The sequence below is a fragment of the Homo sapiens genome, chromosome 5 (assembly GCF_000001405.40).
Source record: "Homo sapiens chromosome 5, GRCh38.p14 Primary Assembly".
Classification (NCBI taxonomy): domain Eukaryota; kingdom Metazoa; phylum Chordata; class Mammalia; order Primates; family Hominidae; genus Homo; species Homo sapiens.
Window position 1 is genome coordinate 101,573,127 of NC_000005.10, and position 22,212 is coordinate 101,595,338.

A 22,212-nucleotide genomic window follows, 5' to 3' on the forward strand; every position below is an offset into this window, starting at 1 on the left:
AGGCTATGGACATGGGAACACAGTTGACAACTATTTTTCTGAGAATAAGAAAAAAAATAACGCTCAAAGACTTAAAAAGTAGTGCTCCTTTGTTCACTCTTACACATAAATATCACAAAGTAAATAGGCAACACAGATATATAGCAAAATTTGTGTATGAAAGACCAAGTAAACTTTGCTTTCATTGGTGGTTAAAAAACTCCAACAAAACACAGAGGATGATTGTGGTCACTAGTGATAGACAAATTTTCACTTAAAAAAAAAAGATTAGTAATTTACCATAAACTCAGAGCAAAATAATCCAATGTCAATTATTTAAAAATAAATAATATGTGTGTTTAGAAAAATACCATTATTTTGATAGCAATAAGAAGCTAAAGCACAAAAGTGGGTAGCTTTTTTAAGAGGACAAAATAATGGTCAGAGGCTTTTGTGTTGTTGTTTTGATTTGTGTGTGTGTGTGTGTGTGTGTGTGTGTGTGTCTTTTTAAATCTTCAGTAACTTGATATGAAAATGTGTGTCTATCTTTGACTTTAAACAGTAATTATGTTTTGAGAACAGGTCAAGGTAAATTATTCTCTGTAATGCATCTCCACAGAGGTGGCAGACCAAACTCCTGTGGCCTTTCTCAGCTGCAGAGGGCTGCCAAGGCAGTAGAGCTAGGTTTTAGAATTACTTTAGAGTTACTTATTTCACCTTGGCTATAATTACCGTGGTAGCTGTTAATCATGACTAATTGAGAGCAGAGGAAAAAAAAATGTCACTTGTAGAGGGAAAGCAGTATTTCAGAATTCCTGTAAACAAAGCTTTGGCTAAAAGATTGAATAGAAAGAGCAAAAATGAGAAAGAAGGTGTTTTGGGCCTGGCCCCCAACGATATTAAACTATTGTAACTGTTTTGAATTGAGCTGGAATGGCTAGATTGAAGAAGATTGAAAAAGAAAGCTTGAAAGTTTGTCCTGTGAAGGCATTAGAACCTCCTGGAAGATGCCAAAATATCTTTGAGTATAGATGTCTCCAGGATGTTAGTGCCAAGGCTCCAGAGAACTCTCCACTGCATCAGCCTTTAGCTTGAATGCCTGCTGTCAACTCCCGTGGACACCATCACAGATCTTAGGACTCATCTATTTAACATGGGATCCGTGCCCGGGACCAAGACACTGATTTGTCTATAAACTTCCAGTGCTGTGACATGGCAGCAACCCTCAGGCAACAGAAGCATGAAAGGGCTCAAGCAGAACCAAACCCAGGTTTGGTAAGTAACACATGGATTTTTCAAAAGTCTAACAAACTAGAATGGATAAAACCACCACAAGAATCTTACATTTCACCATATTTTTAAAGCAACATAGATCAGCTTAACGGTTTATATTTTAAAAGCACTTTCCATCTACATTATGTAATCTTTAAAACAACCATATAAACTATGTATTGTAAAAAAACAAAAAAACTTATTTTGCAAATAAGAATTTATAGCATCTCGAACAAGATGACAAAGATAGTGAGGGCAAGGGCAGGGACTCAAATCCTGACCCTGATTACATATTGTATGTTTCTTCCTCAGAAATATTGTGGTTTGAATGTAAAATATAAGCAGATCTAAACAAATGCTGAGTTAGAAAAAGACCAAGGCTAAAAACTATCATGAAAATGAAACATAAACATGTATTTTATAACATCAAAGTAAATATTTGAATATTTATTTATTTATTTATTTATTTATTTATTTATTTTATTTATTTTTGAGAGGGAGTCTCACTCTGTCACCCAGGCTCGGGTGCAGTGGCGCTATCTTGGCTCACTGCAAGCTCTGCCTCCCGGGTTCACCCCATTCTTCTGCCTCAGCCTCCTGAGTAGCTGAGACTACAGGCACGTGCCACCACGGCCGGCTAATTTTTTTGTATTTTTTAGTAGAGATGGGGTTTCACCATGTTAGCCAGGATGGTCTCGATCTCCTGACCTCGTGATCCGCCTGCCTCGGCCTCCCAAAGTGCTGGGACTACAGGCGTGAGCCACCACACCCGTTAAATGACTTTCATTGTGTCTGTTCCCAATATCATTTTGCCTTCCTTTCCATCACAAATAACTCCTTTCCATCACAAATCCAGTAACCTCCCTGGTAGGATACTTTCACCTTAAGCTTTTATCCTTCCTTTCTTTTCTGTCCTGTGTCCAATCCCCTGTTGATCTCAAATGATCTTCATTTGCCTTATCAATTGATTTTTCCCCGTTTTATTCCTTCTTTTGATTCAATATATCCCCCAAACTGTCCTGTATATAGAGTTATATACAGATACAGAACAGGAGGCTTTACCTGTATATTTTAGCATTGATGGTAGTCATGGCCTCACATATTTCCCACTGGAATTTCAGTATTAGGGAGCAAAGACCTAAGACTGCTAGCATAATTACTTTCCATCGCCTTTGAGAAACACTCACAACCTCATCCCTGTCCTAGCCCGCCCCTTTCCATCACCCAGTTATCAGTAAGGGTATGAATAGGGAGAATAATTATCCCATATAAAATCAGAGAATTTTCTAATTCTAGCATTTTGACTGTCTCTCCCAAGAAGATGGACTTCAAAAAAAGAAAAAGGGCTTTAACTTTCCTGTGCTGAACTTTCCAGGCATTATTGAAAAGAAATGACTGCTATTTGGTAAGCAGTGGCCCTACAAGCAAAGGCGAAGAATACCTATAATAGAGCAATGTTAGTTTTTGTGGAAAAGAACAGTGGGAACTTTAGCCATCAGCACAATTACTTATGGTTATACATACTGTATATAGAAGGGAGGCTAAGATCAACTATTGTTCTGAGAGGACTAGAAACACTGAATTCCTTATCTATCATGAAAAGAGATGATTAGGCCAGGAACATTGAGCTGTTGAAAAGAAAGCAAGTGAGATATAATGTTGAGAACATGATTAGAGCACATGTCGTATTCACTAAATTGATTCTTTATGTTTTGATCTCAGAAAGCATTTTAAAGTTCTTCATCACTTTCACTGATGTGATGTTTTTACTTATGGCAACTTTCAGTCATTTTATAAACACTGATGCTTATCTTTAGTTTCTTAAACATTACTGCTAAAAGAGTATTAGATCACTATGTTAGAACTTGATTCTGGTCAATTTTATTCAATTGGATCAAAAATTTGATTTAAGGATGACAGAAATACTAACTTTATGAATCTAGACTTAAGTGTGTCTGGTTCATTTACAAACAAATTAGTACAGTAATTTCTTCCATTTGTCAAAGTACCATTTAGTTGATATCTGAAGTGTGATGAAGCCAGGCAGAAGGGGCAGTCCTATAATTGTTTGATTCTGCTGCCCTATTCGTTTCTTGCTGAAAATCAAGTAGTAGTACAGGTCTCCTCTCATCTACCCCTCTCCTACAGAACACAAGCCACTTAAAGGAGATGGGCTATGTCTTACCTCTGGATGTGGCTTTGTGATGACTGAGACAGAAGGCATCAGTTCTCATTCCACTCACTCCTTCCACAAACATTTAATGAATTACTTAAAGAAATATGTTTCTAAGTAGTATCTACAAGTACTAACCCTGGTTTTTACTTAGGGCAAATTAACTGTGCAGACTTCCATTAATAAGCATAACAACAATAGCAAAAGAGAATTTATCACATACCAGCTACTCTTCTATGCATTTTACATATATTACCTCATTTAATTCTCACAATATCAGACATTATCCCCTTTTCATGAATCAGAAAGCTGAGGCAAAGATAATTTAAATAACTTCCCTAAGGTTCTCATGACTTTCCTATGGTCTTCAGGAAGTCTAGCCCCTGAAACAGTGGTGTTCACTGTTGTGTTAAATGACCTTGAATATTGAGCTATTAAATATGAGGGTATATTAGGAGAGTTCTTATGGAAATTTCTATAGTGTTCTAAAATGTAAACTTTACTGTATTCTATTCTAGAGTGGGTATGAATACTTCATAGTATTCTATAGTAGGTATAAATGACTAATAAACCAAATGAATACACACACTAAGATATTTAGATTTAAAAAAAGAAACTTGCTAAACCAAATTGGTCAGTGTTTAAGCAATGTAATTAAATGAAGACCATCTCAAGCAGAAACATTTTCCTAAAAGGTTGCCTTCTCTCAGTTTCTTAAGATATTCATCATGGGAAGCAGCCACTGCTAAAGATAGATCTAAATCCTAAATCCTTAGTTAAAATGTGGTCTTATTTATAAATGAAAACCTAGTCTTTCCATAGCCCTTTCTAAATTGGCTATGCCTTCCAAAATTGTTTCTGAAATATCATATAGAATCATTTTAGAAGGTTTTTATTTAATGTACAAGTGGTGAGACACTTGATGTTATTACCATACTACCACATGTACAGGATATGCTCCTGTGTCATGAAACTGTTTTGTTCATGGCAACAGAAAATACAAAATCCTACTACAGCACTAAGTATATCAATCACATCAGTCATCTAACGGGTAGGAGAGGACAATTTACGGAACAACTTTATAAATATGTTACTTTATACTTCAGCCTGATTATTTCATTTTTCATATCTGTGTCATGTTATGGAAAGGAGTTAAGAACCAGATGATTAAGAGAAGTTGCTCTAAATGTCTAAGAAAATTCTATGAAAAGTAAGAATCTTGACTAGTTTCATGTTAGTCAAAGGTATATGTTAAATTATGAATGAGTAATTAGATATATGGAATGAGGCAAATTTTTATCTGATTATATAAATACATTAGTGAGATGAAAAATTTAGCTTCTACAAAAAATGCAAATGTAATATAAATTGTATATAAGCGTATAATTATATTTTCTATTGTCTCATAAAGTAAAAGTTTTATTTTAGCTACTCAACTGTATTAGTAAATTTTTAGTCTATTTATATTCAAAATTACCCTGACTTCTTAGCAGAGAGAGCAGATTCCCAGCTTTCTACCAAATAAAAAATATTACATTGCTTTTTGCCAGAAGCTCACAATTTGCTCATTTTTATGCTGTCCAACATACCACTTGAATGTACTTATTTATAGGTTAAATTGAGCTGCATGACTTAGAGGGGTAGAAGATATATAAGAGTGTTTCTCATATATGAGTTAACTGAGGGCCCTTATAAAGAAATAAAACCAAAGTTAAATTACAAACTATTAAAAATCAAATTTTTTAAAAGCTTTGTAGAGGTGGAAAGGAATGATACATTTCCTTCCCATCGTAAGGATCTTAGCTACATTCTTCAAACAAAAGACAAGTTAACAAGAAAAAAGCATAATACATTTATTTGATGAAACTTTTATATGACACAGGAGCCTTGAGAAATGAAGACCTAAAGACTCAAGGGAAGACCGTGCATTTTTATGCTTGAATTCAATAACAAGTGAACAGCCATGGAGACACGTGATTAAACAAAAACGAAATAATGTAATAGTACTAGATTGAGCGGGCAAACCCAGCAAGGCCTGTCTGATCGGATTCTTCTTGGCTTCTCTGTGTGACATTTCTTCTTCCCAAGTATAAGGCCGGACCCTTTCTGGAATGAGAGTATTATGATCTGCTCTCAGACAAGGCAAGTCCATTTCTTTATGGCCAGCTCTTACACAGAAAGGTGAAGGAAGGCTGAAGTAGTATTTCTGGGGTTCATGGCTAACTTTGGAGGAGAGGAGTTCTAGTTTCTATGATCCACATTGGGGAAGAGGAATTCTAGATTCTACAACTTGCCTTGGGAGAGAAAGAGGAGCAAGGAGAATGGAGGGCAGGAGAAGGTCAGAGTGACTCTGCTTCTGAGTCCTCTCCAACATGTTTTAGTTCAAAGCACTTAGCATGTCCAAGTGCCAAAGTTTATGGTATCATTTTCAGAGCTCCAGCAGCTTCAAACTGAATAAAATTCAAGCTAATATCATTAATGTAATATGAGTATTGTTTTGCTACAGTGTACTGGAGTTTATGACATAGGCTGTTTTGAGTTTGCTACATTTATACTATTATTTAAAGCTAACATTGATTTAAAATTATGAGTCAGATACTGTTTTACATGACTTGTGTTTATAGAGGTTTTTAAAAATTATTACAACAATCCTATGAGGAAATAAATTTGTTTTCATATTTAGAAAAACTGTAAGGTACGATGACTTAATTTCTCAAAATCAGGCAGTAAGTGACGGAGTAAGATTAAAAGTTGTCAGTCTGACAACAGAACTCTCTTCAATAGTACATACACTGCCTCTAAAATAAAATGTTCACAACACTATTCCTCTCCACAACTGAGTACTCAAAAGAATCATATAGGAAAATACTGTTATTGGCACTTAAAATATATAATATGATATTTCTAACATGTCTACCCTTTAAGGGTATGTAGCCGCAAACTGTGAATTAAACTAAAAAATACATCAAAAAGAGAAAGGTATACAATTTTTATTTAATGTTAATATTTAAAAATTTTATGTGCATAGTCACAGAATAGAAGTCAATATCCAAAGAGGTGATTAAATTTGTATTACTTATATATAATCTTAGCAGAGGATGACAAATTGAGAAGATGTGGTAAGAAAAAGAAAAAAGGGGTCCATGCTTCTATGGGCAGTAAATTGTGGAAGGCAAGAATATGTGGATGGAAGGTAGGAGCTATCTAGTAAGATTTTGTTTACTTAGATTCATCTTAGGACTCTCTCCATGTGCATGGATAATTGGTGTTCCTTCCTTCCTGGTATGAAAGAGGAAGATGTCTTGATATGGCTTGAATCTGTGTCCCCGTGCAAATCTCATGTTTAATTACAATCCCCAATGTTGGAGGTAGGGCACAGTGGGAGGTGATTAGATCACGGAGGCTCAATTCTCACTAATGGATCAGCAACATGCCCCTTGGTACTGTCCTCACCATAGTCAGTGATCTTCCTGAGATCTGGTCATTTAAAAGTGTGTGGCACCTCCTCCCTCTCTCTCTTTCTCTTGCTCCTGTTCTTGCCAGGAAGACAGTTGCTCCTGTCACAAGTAAAATCTCCCTGATGCCTTCCCAGAACCTGATGCCGCCATGCTTCCTGTACAGCCTGCAAACCCTGAACCAATTAAACCTCTTTTCTTTATCAATTACCCAGTGTCAAATATTTCTTTATAGCAATGTGATAATGGACTAATACATACCCTCACAAGGAAAAGTTATGTCCTGCTTTTAGGCACACAGGAGAAGGTGGAGAGCTTTTTCTCAATTGCCTTTAACTTAAATAATTCTTATGCCAAAGCAGCATATTTTTGGAGTGGCATATTCTTTTCCCCTTCAAATGGAAAAAATGAGTTGCTTAACAATAGTTAAAAATGTCAGAGTCATTCTTAGCCATGTGGAAACCTAAAGAGTCCTAGTTCATAAGAGTTGTTTCCTGCTCTTCTGAGTATATTACATGCTTGATGCAAGGAGGAAAAGAATAGGTTACTAGATATTATTACTATTTAGGATTATGATTATAATATGAGTAAGACAGGATAAAGAGAGAAAGCCATCTGAGCATAATAATATACAACCGAAACATTTAAGTGCACAAAAATTTCTTAGTAAAGAGGAGTAATAAAACCCACAACACCCGTCACCATTATAGATCCAATCATCTGGAAGAACAGTTGGTACAGAAAATATACCAACCCACAAGCATTAGTCACAACTAGCTTCACATTGTAGTCAGAATGTGGCTCATGGTATTTGCATTTGTTAGAGGTGGCACAAGTGGTGGTTAGAAAGAGAGCTATTCCAAGCCCTTTGCGAGGAATAGAAGACATTTCCTGGACTGTCACTCTTCAGGCATGATAAGTGAATGTAAAACAAAGGCAATGAATGGTTTTACCTATTTCCAGTTAACTGACTTGTGGGTTTAATCAGTACTCCCTAGACCAATGTCTATGGAACACTGATTCTTTTTTTTTTTCTTTTTATTATTATACTTTAAGTTTTAGGGTACATGTGCACAATGTGCAGGTTAGTTACATATGTATACATGTGCCATGCTGGTGTGCTGCACCTCTTAACTCGTCATTTAGCATTAGGTATATCTCCTAATGCTATCCCTCCCCCCACCCCCCACCCCACAACAGTCCCCAGAGTGTGATGTTCCCCTTCCTGTGTCCATGTGTTCTCATTGTTCAATTCCCATCTATGAGTGAGAACATGCGGTGTTTGGTTTTTTGTCCTTGCGATAGTTTACTGAGAATGATTTCCAGTTTCATCCACGTCCCTACAAAGGACATGAACTCATCATTTTTTATGGCTGCATAGTATTCCATGGTGTATATGTGCCACATTTTCTTAATCCAGTCTATCATTGTTGGACATTTGGGTTGGTTCCAAGTCTTTGCTATTGTGAATAGTGCTGCAATAAACATATGTGTGCATGGGAACACTGATTCTTTAGAATGCCCAGAAAACTGTCTGCCCACCAGTAGAATTGAATACTTCCAACATAAGTAATTTTTTCTTCCACAATCTGTTTATGCCATGGTTATTATGATAGTTACTTTAATTAAGGTTAATGCTGTCAATATTATATAAAGGGTTTCAGATTAAATGTGACATGACTGAGTGATTGGAGAAAATGATAAAATTAAAATTTGTTGCTCAGAGTCCTTTTAAATATAAGTTCCTATTCTAATTCATACAAATCCAAACTGAAAACATAGATGCCCTGTGACTACAGGTTAGATTTAAAAAATATATATTTGGCTGGGCATGTTAATGCGTGCTTGTACTCCCAGCTACTTGGGAGACTGAGGCAGGAACACTGATTGAGTCCAGGAGTTCTGGGATATAGTACACTATGCTGATCCAACATTCACACTAAGTGCAGCATCAATATGGTGACTTCCTGGGAGCAGGGAACCACCAGGTTACCAAAGGAGGAGTGAACCTGCCCAGGTCAGAAATAGAGCAGGTAAAAATTCCTGCAGTGATCAGTAGTGGGATTGTGCCTATGAATAGCTACCACACTCCAGCCTGGGAAGCTTATCAATACCCCATCTCTAAAATAAATTATTTAAATAAATAAATAAATAATTTTTTTAAAGCTTGAAATGAAAGCAGTCTTAGGCATACACTGGTATTTTAGCAAATAAATAAATATTGTATGCTTTAGGTTAAATATGTATATTACATCAGTATGTATATATTTAATTTAAAATGTGTAATGTTTATACATTATAAGATAATGTTGGAAAGCATAAATAGGTTAATCATTTCAAGTTACTGTTGTGTCTGTGAACTTAATTTAGTGAAATAAGTGCAGTAAATATACTCATCATGTGACTTGCATGTTTTGAATTTCAAGTAAAAATTCACAAAATGCCCTTCTGCACCAGCTTACAATATTCTTTTTTTAAAATATATATTTATTTACTTATTTATTTATTGAGACAGAGTCTCACTCTGTCACCCAGGCTGGAGTGCAGTGGCACAATCTTGGCTAACTGCAACCTCCGCCTACCAAGTTCAAGCGATTCTTGTGTCTCAGCCTCCACAGTAGCTGGGATTGCAGCCTCGTGCCACCATGCCTGGCTAATTTTTGTATTTTTCAGTAGAGATGGTATTTTGCCATGTTGGCCAGGCTAGTCTTGAACTCCTGGCCTCAAGTGATCTGTCCAACTTGGCCTCCCAAAGTGCTGGAATTGCAGGTGTGAGCCACCATGCTGTGCCGAGTTTAAAATGTTCTATCTTTGTGCCACAATCACAGTCATCGTAATTGGAGACCACACTCTATCTTTGTTGAGTTGCAGGAGTGTCCAGTCTTTTTGTCTTCCTAGGCTACTTTGGAAGAATTGTCTTGGGCAATACTTAAAATACAGCAACACTAATGATAGCTGATGGGCTAAAATCATTTGCAAAAAAAACTCATAATGTTTTAAGAAAGTTTATGAATTTGTGTTGGGCCTCATTCAAAGCTGTCCTGGGCCACCTTGCTCACAGGCTGCAGGTTGAAGAAGTTTGAGTTACAGTCTACCACAATTTATTCTCATTTATTTTTAGACCTAGAAAGGAAAGACACAGTTATTCGGTTACATAAAATAGAATTTGTGGCCGGGCACAGTGGCTCACGCCTGTAATCCCAGCACTTTGGGAGGCCGAGGCGGGCAGATCACGAGGTCAGGAGATCGAGACCATCCTGGCTAACACAGTGAAACCCCATCTCTACTAAAAATACAAAAAAATTAGCTGGGCATAGTGGTGGGCGCCTGTAGTCCCAGCTACTCAGGAGGCTGAGGCAGGAGAATGGCATGAACCCGGGAGGCGGAGGTTGCAGTGAGCGGAGATCACGCCACTGCACTCCAGCCTGGGCGACAAAGCGAGACTCCGTCTCAAAAAAAAACAGAATTTGCAAAGCAGTTTTCTAATAAGTCCACAAATTATCCTTTATTATCTTTTGAAATGAAAGAAAACGTATTTTTCTCAACAAAATTGAGATATTCGGTATTATTTGGTGTGAGAAGTGAGAATAATAATGTCAGGACACTGAGCTCAGTGTTAGATTTCTCTTTTTAATTTTTATTTTAGATTTGGAGGTATAAGCGCAAGTTTGTTATATAGGTAAAGTCATGTCTCCGGGGCTTGTTGTACAGATTATTTTATCACTAAGCCTAGTACCCATGAGTTATTTTTTCTGATCCTCTCTCTCCTTTCATCCTCCACCCTCACGTAGGCCCCAGTGTCTGTTGTTTATGGTTTTGTGTAGCATTAAATATTCTTTTTCAAGTATACACAGGTAACAATTCCATGTGAATTATTCTTTCAAAGTGGAAGATATGTATGGGCTTTGTCATCTGAAAGCACAGGTTCAAATTCTATGCCTTGTCTCTCACTAGCTGCTCATTTCAAAAAAAGTTACATAACCTCTCTAGTTCTTATCATACAAATGTAATCCATACATCTTAAGGGTTTTTTAGTTTGAATGTGCAATAGTATGTTTGAGAATGCCTATTCTGGTATGCAGCAGATATTAATGATTCAAGAAACTTGTTTTTTATTCCTTTCTCAACCACTTTATCTTGGTCCTTCTATGTAAAATTGCATTACAAATTACAGTTTTTATTTTTCAAGCCTAACTTATGTTATTATTGGTGTCATGGTTTATTTTTTTCTTTTGTCTCTTTCATCCCATTTAAAAAGCTCAGACTATAGTTTTAAAAAGAAGTTATCTGTTTCAATATTTTTTTTTCTCTGTCAAGGGGGTGGGGTACTAGTATCCACATCAGAATACAAGACCAAAAGACAAGACTCAACTTGGAAAATAAAATCTTCTACCTATCCAGGTTTCCAAGTAAGAATCTAATATTTTTATTATAACCTTCAAGGGATTGTTTAGAAAACATTCCCCTTTCAATGCCTTTCAATAGTTACCAAATATAAAAAAATTATGTATATTTAAAAATATATATTTTATTTTCTATATATATATATATATATATATACAAACACACGTATACATATACCTCTAACACATATAGGGTTCAAATGTTTTTAAAGGTCATTTTCATGCTAGATGTTTTCAGTGTTATATTATTCTTATTATCATATTTTTCATTTGGTATGTTTAAAGTATAGAAAACAATTTTATTGTGATTTTTAAAAACTCAGACACTTGGTAGAGAGCCCGTATTTGGTCAGTTTCCAGGATTTGTTATTCCATATCAATTTTTAATACCTTCACCTCCTAAACAATGTAGCTCTCTTATACTTTTTACTCAGTCGAAGTTCTTCCCTAGTGTACAATTATAGAGCGACAAAATAAAATGAAATTTTAATGACTTGAGGTTACCAAAATATATATAAATATTAATGACCAAATATTGAAACAAAGTTTTTACTGAACATAATAAGTTTATCTCCTCTTAAAGTGATCCTATGGTACCCATGATAGCAAGAGGTAGCAAAGGGATTTCAAAAAAATTAAACAGATAACTGAAAACGGACTGTGTTTCCATAGATACTGTGATTAATTACTGGGTATGTTTCACTATTCTACTTCTCTAAATGTAGTTGTTGTTTCTAAATTGGTACCAGCAGAGTGGGGCATTGCTGAAAAGATACCCAAAAATGTGGAAGTGATTTTGGAACTGGGTAACAGGCAGAGGTTGAAACAGTTTGGAGGGTTCAGAAGAAGATAGGAAAATGTGGGAAAGTTTGCAACTTCCTAGAGACTTGTTGAATGCTTTGGCCCAAATTGCTGATAGTGATATGGACAATAAGGTCCAGGCTGAGATGGTTTCAGATGGGGATGAGGAACTTGTTGGAAACTGGAGCAAAGGTGACTCTTGCTATGTTTTAGCAAAGAGAATGGCGGCATTTTGCCTCTGCCCTAGAGATTTTTGGAACTTTAAACTTCAGAGAGATGATTTAGTTTGTCTGACAGAAGAAATTTCTAAGCAGCAAAGCATTCAAGAGTTGACTTGGGTGCTGTCCAAAGCATTCAGTTTTAACAGGGAAGCAGAGCAAAAAAGTTTGAAAAATTTGCAGCCTGACAAATTGAGAGAAAAGAAAATCCCATTTTCTGGGAGAAATTCCAGCTGGCTGCAGAAATTTGCATAAGTAATGAGGAGTCAAATGTTAACCCCCAAGACAATGGGGAATATGTCTCCAGGGCATGTCAGAGGTCTTCATGGCAGATGCTCCCATCACAATCCCAGAGGCCTAGGAGGAAAAAGTGGTTTCATGGGCCAGGCCCAGGTCCTCGAGCTGTGTGCAGCCTTGGGACTTGGTGCCCTGTGTCCAGGCTGCTCCAGTCATGGCTGAAAAAGGCCAATGTAGAGCTCAGGGTGTGACTTCAGATGGTGCAAGACCCAAGTCTTGGCAGCTTCCACATGGTGTTGAGCCTGCCATCGCACAGAAGCCAAGAACTGAGGTTTGAGAACCTCCACCTAGATTTCAGAAGATGTATAGAAACGCCTGGATGTTCCGGCAGAAGTTTATTACAGGGGCAGGGCTCTCATGGAGAACCTCTAATAGGGCAGTACAGAAGAGAAATGTGGGGTTGGAGCCCCCACACAGAGTCCCTACTGAGGCACTGCCTAATGGAGCTGTGAGAAGAGGGCCATTGTCCTCCAGACCCCAGAATGGTAGATCTACTGACAGCTTGAACCGTGCACCTGGAAGAGCCACAGACACTCAATGACAGCCTGTGAAAGCAGTTGGGAGGTAGGCTGTATCCTGCAAAGCCACAGAGGCGGTGCTACCCAAGACCATGAGAATCCACCTTTTGTATCAGTGTGACCTGGATGTGAGACCTGGAGTCAAAGGAGATCATTTTGGAGTTTCAAGATTTGACTGCCCCACTGGATTTCAGACTTCCATTGGCCCAGTAGCCCATTTGTTTTGGCCAATTTCTCCCATTTGGAATGGTTGTATTTACCCAATGTCTGTATCCGCATTGTATCTAGGAAATAAGTAGCTTGCTTTTGATTTTACAGGCTCATAGGCAGAAGGAACTTGCCTCGCCTCAGATGAGACTTTGAACTGGGGACTTTTGAGTTAATGCTGAAATGAATTAAGACTTTGGGGGACTGTTGGGAAGGCATGATTGATTTTGAAATGTGAGGACATGATATTTGGCAGAGGCCAGGGGCAGAATGACATGGTTTGGCTCTGTGTCCCCATCCAAATCTCATCTTGAACTGTACTCTCATAATTCCCATGTGTTGTGCCAGGGACCCGCTAGGAGATAATTGAATCATGGGGGCTGTTTCCCATAATTTTGTGATAGTGAATAAGTCTCACCAGATCTGATTGTTTTATCAGGGGTTTCTGCTTTCGCATCTTCCTCATTCTCTCTGCCTGCTGCCATTCATGTAAGATGTGACTTACTCCTCCTTGCCTTCCACCATGATTGTGAGGTTTCCCCAGCCATGTGGAACTGTAACTCCAATTAAACCTTTTTTTCTTTTTTTGTAAATTGCCCAGTCTCAGGTATGTCTTTATCAGCAGCATGAAAATGGACTAATACAGTTTCTATCATATTGCTCCATAGATATAAAGGCATACTCTTATAGATTGTTAAAAGATACGCAAATCAACAAATGTAATCCAGCATATACACATAACCAAAGACAAAAACCACATGATTATCTCAATAGATGCAGAAAAGGCCTTTGACAAAATTCAACAATTCTTCATGCTAAAAACTCTCAATAAATTAGGTATTGATGGGATGTATCTCAAAATAATAAGAGCTATCTATAACACACCCACAGCCAATATCATACTGAATGGGCAAAAACTGGAAGCATTCCCTTTGAAAACTCACACAAGACAGGGATGCCCTCTCTCACCACTCCTATTCAACATAGTGCTGGAAGTTCTGGCCAGGGCAATTAGGCAGGAGAAGGAAATAAAGGGTATTCAATTAAGAAAAGAGGAAGTCAAATTGTCCTTGTTTGCAGATGACATGATTGTATATCTAGAAAACCCCATCGTCTCAGCCCAAAATCTCCTTAAGCTGATAAGCAACTTCAGCAAAGTCTCAGGATACAAAATCAATGTACAAAAATCACAAGCATTCTTATACACCATTAACAGACAAACAGAGAGCCAAATCATGAGTGAACTCCCATTCACAATTGCTTCAAAGAGAATAAAATACCTAGGAATCCAACTTACAAGGGATGTGAAGGACCTCTTCAAGGAGAACTACAAACCACTGCTCAAGGAAATAAAAGAGGATACAAACAAATGGAAGAACATTCCATGCTCATGGGTAGGAAGAATCAATATCGTGGAAATGGCCATACTGCCCAAGGTAATTTATAGACTTAATGCCATCCCCATCAAGCTACCAATGACTTTCTTCACAGAATTGGAAAAAATTACTTTAAAGTTCATATGGAACCAAAAAAAGAGCCCGCATTGCCAAGTCAATCCTAAGCCAAAAGAACAAAGCTGGAGGCATCACACTACCTGACTTCAAACTATACTACAAGGCTACAGTAACCAAAACAGCATGGTACTGGTACCAAAACAGAGATACAGATCAATGGAACAGAATAGAGCTCTCAGAAATCACGCCGCCTATCTACAACCATCTGATCTTTGACAAACCTGAGAAAAACAAGAAATGGGGAAAGGATTCCCTATTTAATAAATGGTGCTGGGAAAACTGGCTAGCCATATGGAGAAAGCTGAAACTGGATCCCTTCCTTATACCTTATACAAAAATTAATTCGAGATGGATTAAAGACTTACATGTTATACCTAAAACCATAAAAACCATAGAAGAAAACATAGGCAATACCATTCAGGACATAGGCATGGGCAAGGACTTCATGTCTAAAACACCAAAAGCAATGGCAACAAAAGCCAGAATTGACAAATGGGATCTAATTAAACTAAAGAGCTTCTGCACAGCAAAAGAAACTACCATCAGAGTGAACAGGCAACCTACAGAATGGGAGAAAATTTTCGCAACCTACTCATCTGACAAAGGGCTAATATCCAGAATCTACAATGAACTCCAACAAATTTACAAGAAAAAAACAAACAACCCCATCAAAAAGTAGGCGAAGGATATGAACAGACACTTATCAAAGGAAGACATTTATGCAGCCAAAAAAACACATGAAAAAATGCTCATCATCACTGGCCATCAGAGAAATGCAAATCAAAACCACAATGAGATACCCTCTCACACCAGTTAGAATGGCGATCATTAAAAAGTCAGGAAACAACAGGTGCTGGAGAGGATGTGGAGAAATAGGAACACTTCTACACTGTTGGTGGGACTGTAAACTAGTTCAACCATTGTGGAAGTCAGTGTGGCGATTCCTCAGGGATCTAGAACTAGAAATACCATTTGACTCAGCCATCCCATTACTGGGTATATACCCAAAGGATTATAAATCATGCTGCTATAAAGACACATGCACACATATGTTTATTGCGGCACTATTCCCAATAGCAAAGACTTGGAACCGACCCAAATGTCCAACAACAATAGACTGGATCAAGAAAATGTGGCACATATACACCATGGAACACTATGCAGCCATAAAAAATGAAGAGTTCATGTCCTTTGTAGGGACATGGATGAAACTGGAAACCAGCATTCTCAGCAAACTATTGCAAGGACAAAAAACCAAACACCGCATGTTCTCACTCACAGGTGGGAATTGAACAATGAGAACACATGGACACAGGAAGGGGAACATCACACTCTGGGGACTGTTGTTGGGGTGGGGAGGGGGGAGGGATAGCATTAGGAGATATACCTAATGCTAAATGACGAGTTAATGGGTGCAGCACACCAACATGGGACATGTATACATATGTAACAAACCTGCACATTGTGCACATGTACCCTAAAACTTAAAGTATAATAATAATAAAATAAAAAAATAAAAAATATATGGCTGAAAAAAAAAGAAAGCTACATAAGTTAGCATATCATGACCTGAATGAATGTAGGCAAGATCACAAGAAAATTTGAACAGTGTTTGAAATTAAAAGAACAGCCACAACAACAAAACAAAAAACAAACAAAAAAACATAGACTTATGCTTCCAGAAAGGTACTTCTGGAAATAGATGTCCTTTTAAATGTCCTTCTCCACAATCCTCTTGCTAAGCCCAACTAAAATCCCTGGGCATAACATATAAAACAAATATATGAGCCCCTGAAAGGTGAAGAGAAGGCAGACAAGCAAGAAACTCTGGAGACACAGTAGTGCTTTTACTGGGTTTTCATTTAGCTTCATATATCCTAGAGTTGGAACCAAAGAAGGTCGGAATCCAGAAACAAAACAGCAGACAAAATAATTCCTCAGCAAAGACTAATCTCACTAGCCAAGTAACTGATCTCTCTTCCCAAGTAATAGACAGCCTAGAAAGATAGAAATTGTATGAGTGAATTTTCATACGCTGTATAGAACTGCCTGAGACTGGGTAATTTATAAAGGAAAGAGGTTTAATTGACTCACAGTTCAGCATGGCTGGGAATGCCACAGGAAACTTACAGTTTTGGTGGAAGTTGAAGGGGAAGCAAGGCATCTTATTCACAAGGTGGCAAGAGGGAGAATGAACGCAGGAGGAACTACCAAACACTAATAAAACCATCAGATCTCATGAGAACTCACTCACTATCATGAGAACAGCATGGAGGAAACCACTCAAATTATTTAATTACCTCCACCAGGTCTCTCCCTTGACACATCCGGATTATGGAGATTACAGTTCAAGATGAGATTTTGGAGGACACAGCCAAACCATATCAGAAATCATTTAGATAATTACCACTCTACTCCTGCCAATCATAAAAGAAAAATACTGTGGCCCAATCCCACCCATGCCAAAAAACACTGAGCAGGTTTCCATGCCCACAGGCTATAATGAGGTTTCTAATCACAACACCTGGTTGATGTCCAAGAAAGAAGCCTACGTTTTCATCCATACTGGGGCATAATAACCCCCTCCTCATGGTCTCAGTGGAAACCACCAGTGGAGCCTGGACTTACACCACCACCTGGTGGTAACAAGAATAGTACCAAAATTGGCCACATGGAAAGTCAAAATTTTCAAAATGTTCCTCTGGCTGTGAGATAATTCCCCTTCTCTGTTGTGTTCATTAAAGCCACTTGGAAAGAAATAATGAAGCAGCACTATGCATCCTAGCCAGGAAGGCATCAAAAAGGCTTATTGTAGAGCCAGAACTCCCAACCCAGCTCAACTATAAGGAGCTCTCACCTTCATCAGGTGTAAATGGAGGCCTAGTGAGAAATCTGGACTTCTATCCTCATCTGAAAATAATTAGGCAATTCCCTCCATCACATCTAAATGAGACTGCAGTGGGGTCAGAGAGAGCCAACTAAAATAGGAGTAGAATCCAGTCTTATAACTTAATATCCATAATGTCTAGGCTTTAATTTTTAATAAATTACTCCTCCTAACAAGAATCAGGAAAACCTCAAACTGAATGAGAAAAAATAGTTAATCAACAGATGTCAACACAGATATGAGAGATGTTAGAATTATTTAACAAATATTTTACCACTGCCATTATAAAAATACTTCAACATGCAATTACTAACACATTTGAACAAATGGAAAAAAAAATCAGCAAAGACACAGAAGATATGAGTAAGAAACAAAGGAAAAATTTTGAACTTAAAAATTCAATAATCGAAAAGCTCAACAGACGGGTTCAGCAGCAGGGTAGAGAGAACAGAATCCAAAACCCAGTAAATATTGAAAAAATAAAGTAAGAAGAGCCTCAGGCACTTTTTGGACTACAAAAAAAAAAAAAAAAAAAAAGGTCTAACATTCACATCATTGGAATCCTAAAAGGAGAGGAGAAAAGAGGCAGAACAAAAATGTACTGAAAAATGGATGAAAACTTCCCACATTTTGCAAAAGACATAAAACTTAAGATTTAAGAAGCTAAATGAATGCAAAACAAGATAATCTTAAATAAGTCCATGACAAGTTATATCATATTCAAACTTCTGTAAACTAAAGAAAAAAAATAAATCTTGAAATCTATAGAGAGAAACAGCACCTTACCTGTGAGAGCAAATAATTTGAAAGACAGTGAATTTCTTATCAGAAATGATGGAGGCCAAAAGAAAGTGTCATAGTCTTTTAAGTCCTGAAAGGAAAACAAAAACAAAAAGAAAAATAAAACACAACAATCATGTACATCCACAATTCTATATCTACCAACAATATTCTTCAGGAGCAAAAGGGAAATCAAGATATTCTTAGATTAAGGAAAAGTCCCTTTCCTTATGGATTGTGGCAAAGTTCCTTTTGCCATATAACTTAACATATTCATAGATTTTAAAAAAATAGCTAAAGGAGAAAGTCTCTAAACAAAAAATTATATAAGGAGAGATCTTGTAACATTAGAAAGGATGGAAGAACATAGTAGGCAAATACAATTGAATTTTATTCTTTTTGAGTTTTCTAAATTATATTTGACATTTGAAGTCAAAATTATAACACTGACTGATAATATTCAAAATGTAAATACAGGAAATATTTAAAACAGTTATAAACAGGAGGATAAGTAAGATTTCTAGATGTCACCAAAACATGTAAAATGATGTCACTATTAGGAAAACTATATAAACATAATACAATACCTTGGTCAACCATTAAAATAAGTTATAAAAACATTTTATAACTTATTACTTATTTTAAATACTTATTACTTATTTTAAAATGTTATATCTTATAACTTATTTTAAAACATTATAGATAGAACCTAGCACCTCTAGAATAGTGACAGGAGGAGTTCCATAGACCCTGTACTCAGAAAAACAATCACAATTGGCAAATATCATTTTTTAAAAAAATATATAATTTTTTTAAAAATTAAAATCTATAAAATTGAGTGCACACAATAAATAAAGAATCACTTATTTTTTAGAAAAACTATTAAATTATATAAAGAACAGCAAGAGCTAGGCACAGTGGCTCATGCCTCTAATCCCATTGTTTTGGGAGGTTGAAGCAGAAAGATTATTTGAAGCCAGAAGTTTAAGAGCAGCCTGGGCAGCATAACAAGATCACATCCAAACAAAAAAAAAATACAGAAATGGTGGTGCACGCTTGGTAGTAGTTTCATCTACTTAGGAGACTGAGGTGGGAGGATTGCTTGAGCCCAGGATTTTGAGGCTACAGTGAGCTATGATCATGCCATTGCACTTCAGCCTGAGCAACAGAGACCCTGTCTCCAAAAAACAAACATACGGCTGGGTGCAATGGCTCACGTCTATAATCCTAGCACTTTGGGTGGCCGAGGTGGATGGATCACAAGATCAGGAGCTTGGGACCAGCCTGGCTAATATGGTGAAACCCTGTCTCTACTGAAAATACAAAAATTAGCCAGGCGTGGTGTTGGGCGCTTGTAGTCCCAGCTACTCGGGAGGCTGAGGCAGGAGAATTGCTTGAACCCAGGAGGCGGAGGTTGCAGTGAGCAGAGATCACGCCACTGCACTCTGGCCTGGGTGACAGAGGGAGTCTCTCTCTCTCTCTCTGTCTCTCTCTGTCTCTCTCTCTCTCTCTCTCTCTCTCTATATATATATATATATATGACAATTTATTTCTAAGCGTTTTTTTCTATTTGATGCTATTAAAAATGAAACTGATTTTTAAATTTTATTTTCAGATTTGTATTGCTAAGATATAGAAATTTATGAATTTTAAATATTGATCTTTCATATATATATATACACACACACACACACACATATATATTATATATATAGCAAAAGTCCTTGACATGTGTGTAAAGATTCATTCTTTTCTACCTCTCTAGCTCTACATAATAAACATTTTAAGCCACATAGGTAGAATGAAGAAGGCATGGTTCCGTCTTTCACCTGCTACCAGGTTTGGGCTACAGTTTCTTCCCAGGAAAGGCTGGTCATTAGCATTTGTCCTCTACCACCAGCCCCTGTCACATACACCAGCTCTGTTTTGCAGAAGTTTTATTCCAGGTAAGAAAGCTAAGAGTACCAGGCCTCTATTTCTTCCTTTGAGTATCCTCTCATTGGGTGGAATATAGATCCTATGTTCAGCAGGTAAGAAACACTGGACCCCATTTTCATGGTCCTCAGTTGTTCAGAGGTGAAACTGGTAAGCAGGAAGAGACAAGATGAGAATACCAGTTGTCACCACCACACCCAGTGCCCTATTCTGAAAGCAAAAGTGTTATAGTAAGAGGATGCTCTCTACCTAAGATCAATAAGAGGAAAATAATATTTACTCTTGCTGCCTTTTAAAAACAATGTCGTAGAAAATCTGGTGAGGACAATAAAGCAAGTACTAAAATGCATCTAGATTAAAAAGAAAGAAATACAAATATCTCTCTTGCAGATGAAATAATTCTGTATGGAGAAAATCTTCAGGAATCTAATATACTAATATAAAAAATAATAAAGAAATTCAATAAAGTTTGTGAATGAAAGATCAATATTTAAAATTCATAAATTTCTACATCTTAGCAATACAAATCTAAAAATAAAATTTAAAAATCAGTTTCATTTTTAATAGCATCAAATAGAAAAAAACACTTAGAAATAAATTTAACAAATAAGTGAAAGACTTGTAATCTGAAAGCAACAAAATATTGTTGGATTAATTTAAAACCTAAATAAACAGACATTTCATACATATTGATTAGAAGATTTAATATGGTTAAGAGAGAAATATCTCCAAAATTGATTGACAAATTCAACAATATCTCTATAAAATTCCCAGCTACTTTTGTGAACAAATTGTAAGATGATGCAAAAGTAATATATAAATGTGAATAATCCATAATATTCAAAAATTATGATAAAGATGTGATATCACCAAGATGACAGGGTAGGAGATATCAGCTTTCATCCTGCCACAAAAAAAAATAGAAATAAAAAACAGACAGTTATTTACAAATCAAAATAGGCCAGAGAGGGCTCAAGGGCCCATTAGAAAATCTGCAGCAACACAGTGGAACAAAAAAAAAAAAAGAAAGAAAGAAAAGATGGAGAATATCCACATAGAAAGGATCTCTAGTGATACTGACATACATGGGAATAAGAAAGATGGAAGCTATTGGTATCAGCCATGTGATGGGAGCCACCATGCTCCCCAGCAACCTGCTACACAGAGGACACTGGCATCTCTTGTCACTGAGGTAACCAACAGCTAATCCTGCCAGGAAATCCTAGAGAAGAAAACATGGCTGCACACCCATATTCCCCAAAGAAACAACTGCTTGGGAAAGGAGCCATTACCTAGCCCAACTCTTCATGTACCCCAACCCTGTATACATGGCTACTCTCTGAGTCTCCAAAGTAAGGACCCATGCTCAGTGGCAACACTGGATGGATCCACGTTTCAGATATCAGAGCCAATGGCAGAGCAAGCTAGTTTTCACTCTGGGCCATGGAGCCAAGCACTTGCTGTGGGCACCAGCTCTGCTGCTATGGAGAGCTAGGCACCATATGCCCATGCTCTGGGGCACCAGCTCTACTGCTATGGAGGGCTGGAACCTGCCGTAATCCCAGAGTCACTCTACCCTGTGCATTCCTGTGCTGTCATGCTTGGTTTCTCAGATAATTCACAAGAATCTGTACCTTGCATACTGTTACCAAAATGGAGGCAGGGGGTGCCTTCATCATGGGCACCAGTTCCCCAAATCTCAGAGCTATAGTCCCTCCGTGTGTGCCCATGCTTCAGGCCTTAGCCCCATGGTCACTCCATAAACACCACCCA

The 22,212-nt window shown here is 37.2% G+C and overlaps 1 long non-coding RNA gene and 1 pseudogene across 3 annotated transcripts in view; one reads left to right on the forward strand and one right to left on the reverse strand.

Annotated features, from left to right (window-relative positions):
* Positions 1-22,212, reverse strand: part of LOC105379102 (uncharacterized) — a 328,753-nt gene that overhangs the window by 47,544 nt on the left and 258,997 nt on the right. For all 3 annotated transcript variants that reach the window (XR_007058891.1, XR_948628.3, XR_001742829.2), the window contains one exon: positions 18,511-18,595. This is a non-coding gene — a long non-coding RNA (uncharacterized LOC105379102). The remainder of the gene's footprint in view (positions 1-18,510; positions 18,596-22,212) is intronic.
* On the forward strand, positions 8,704-9,002 carry RN7SL802P (RNA, 7SL, cytoplasmic 802, pseudogene; annotated as a pseudogene).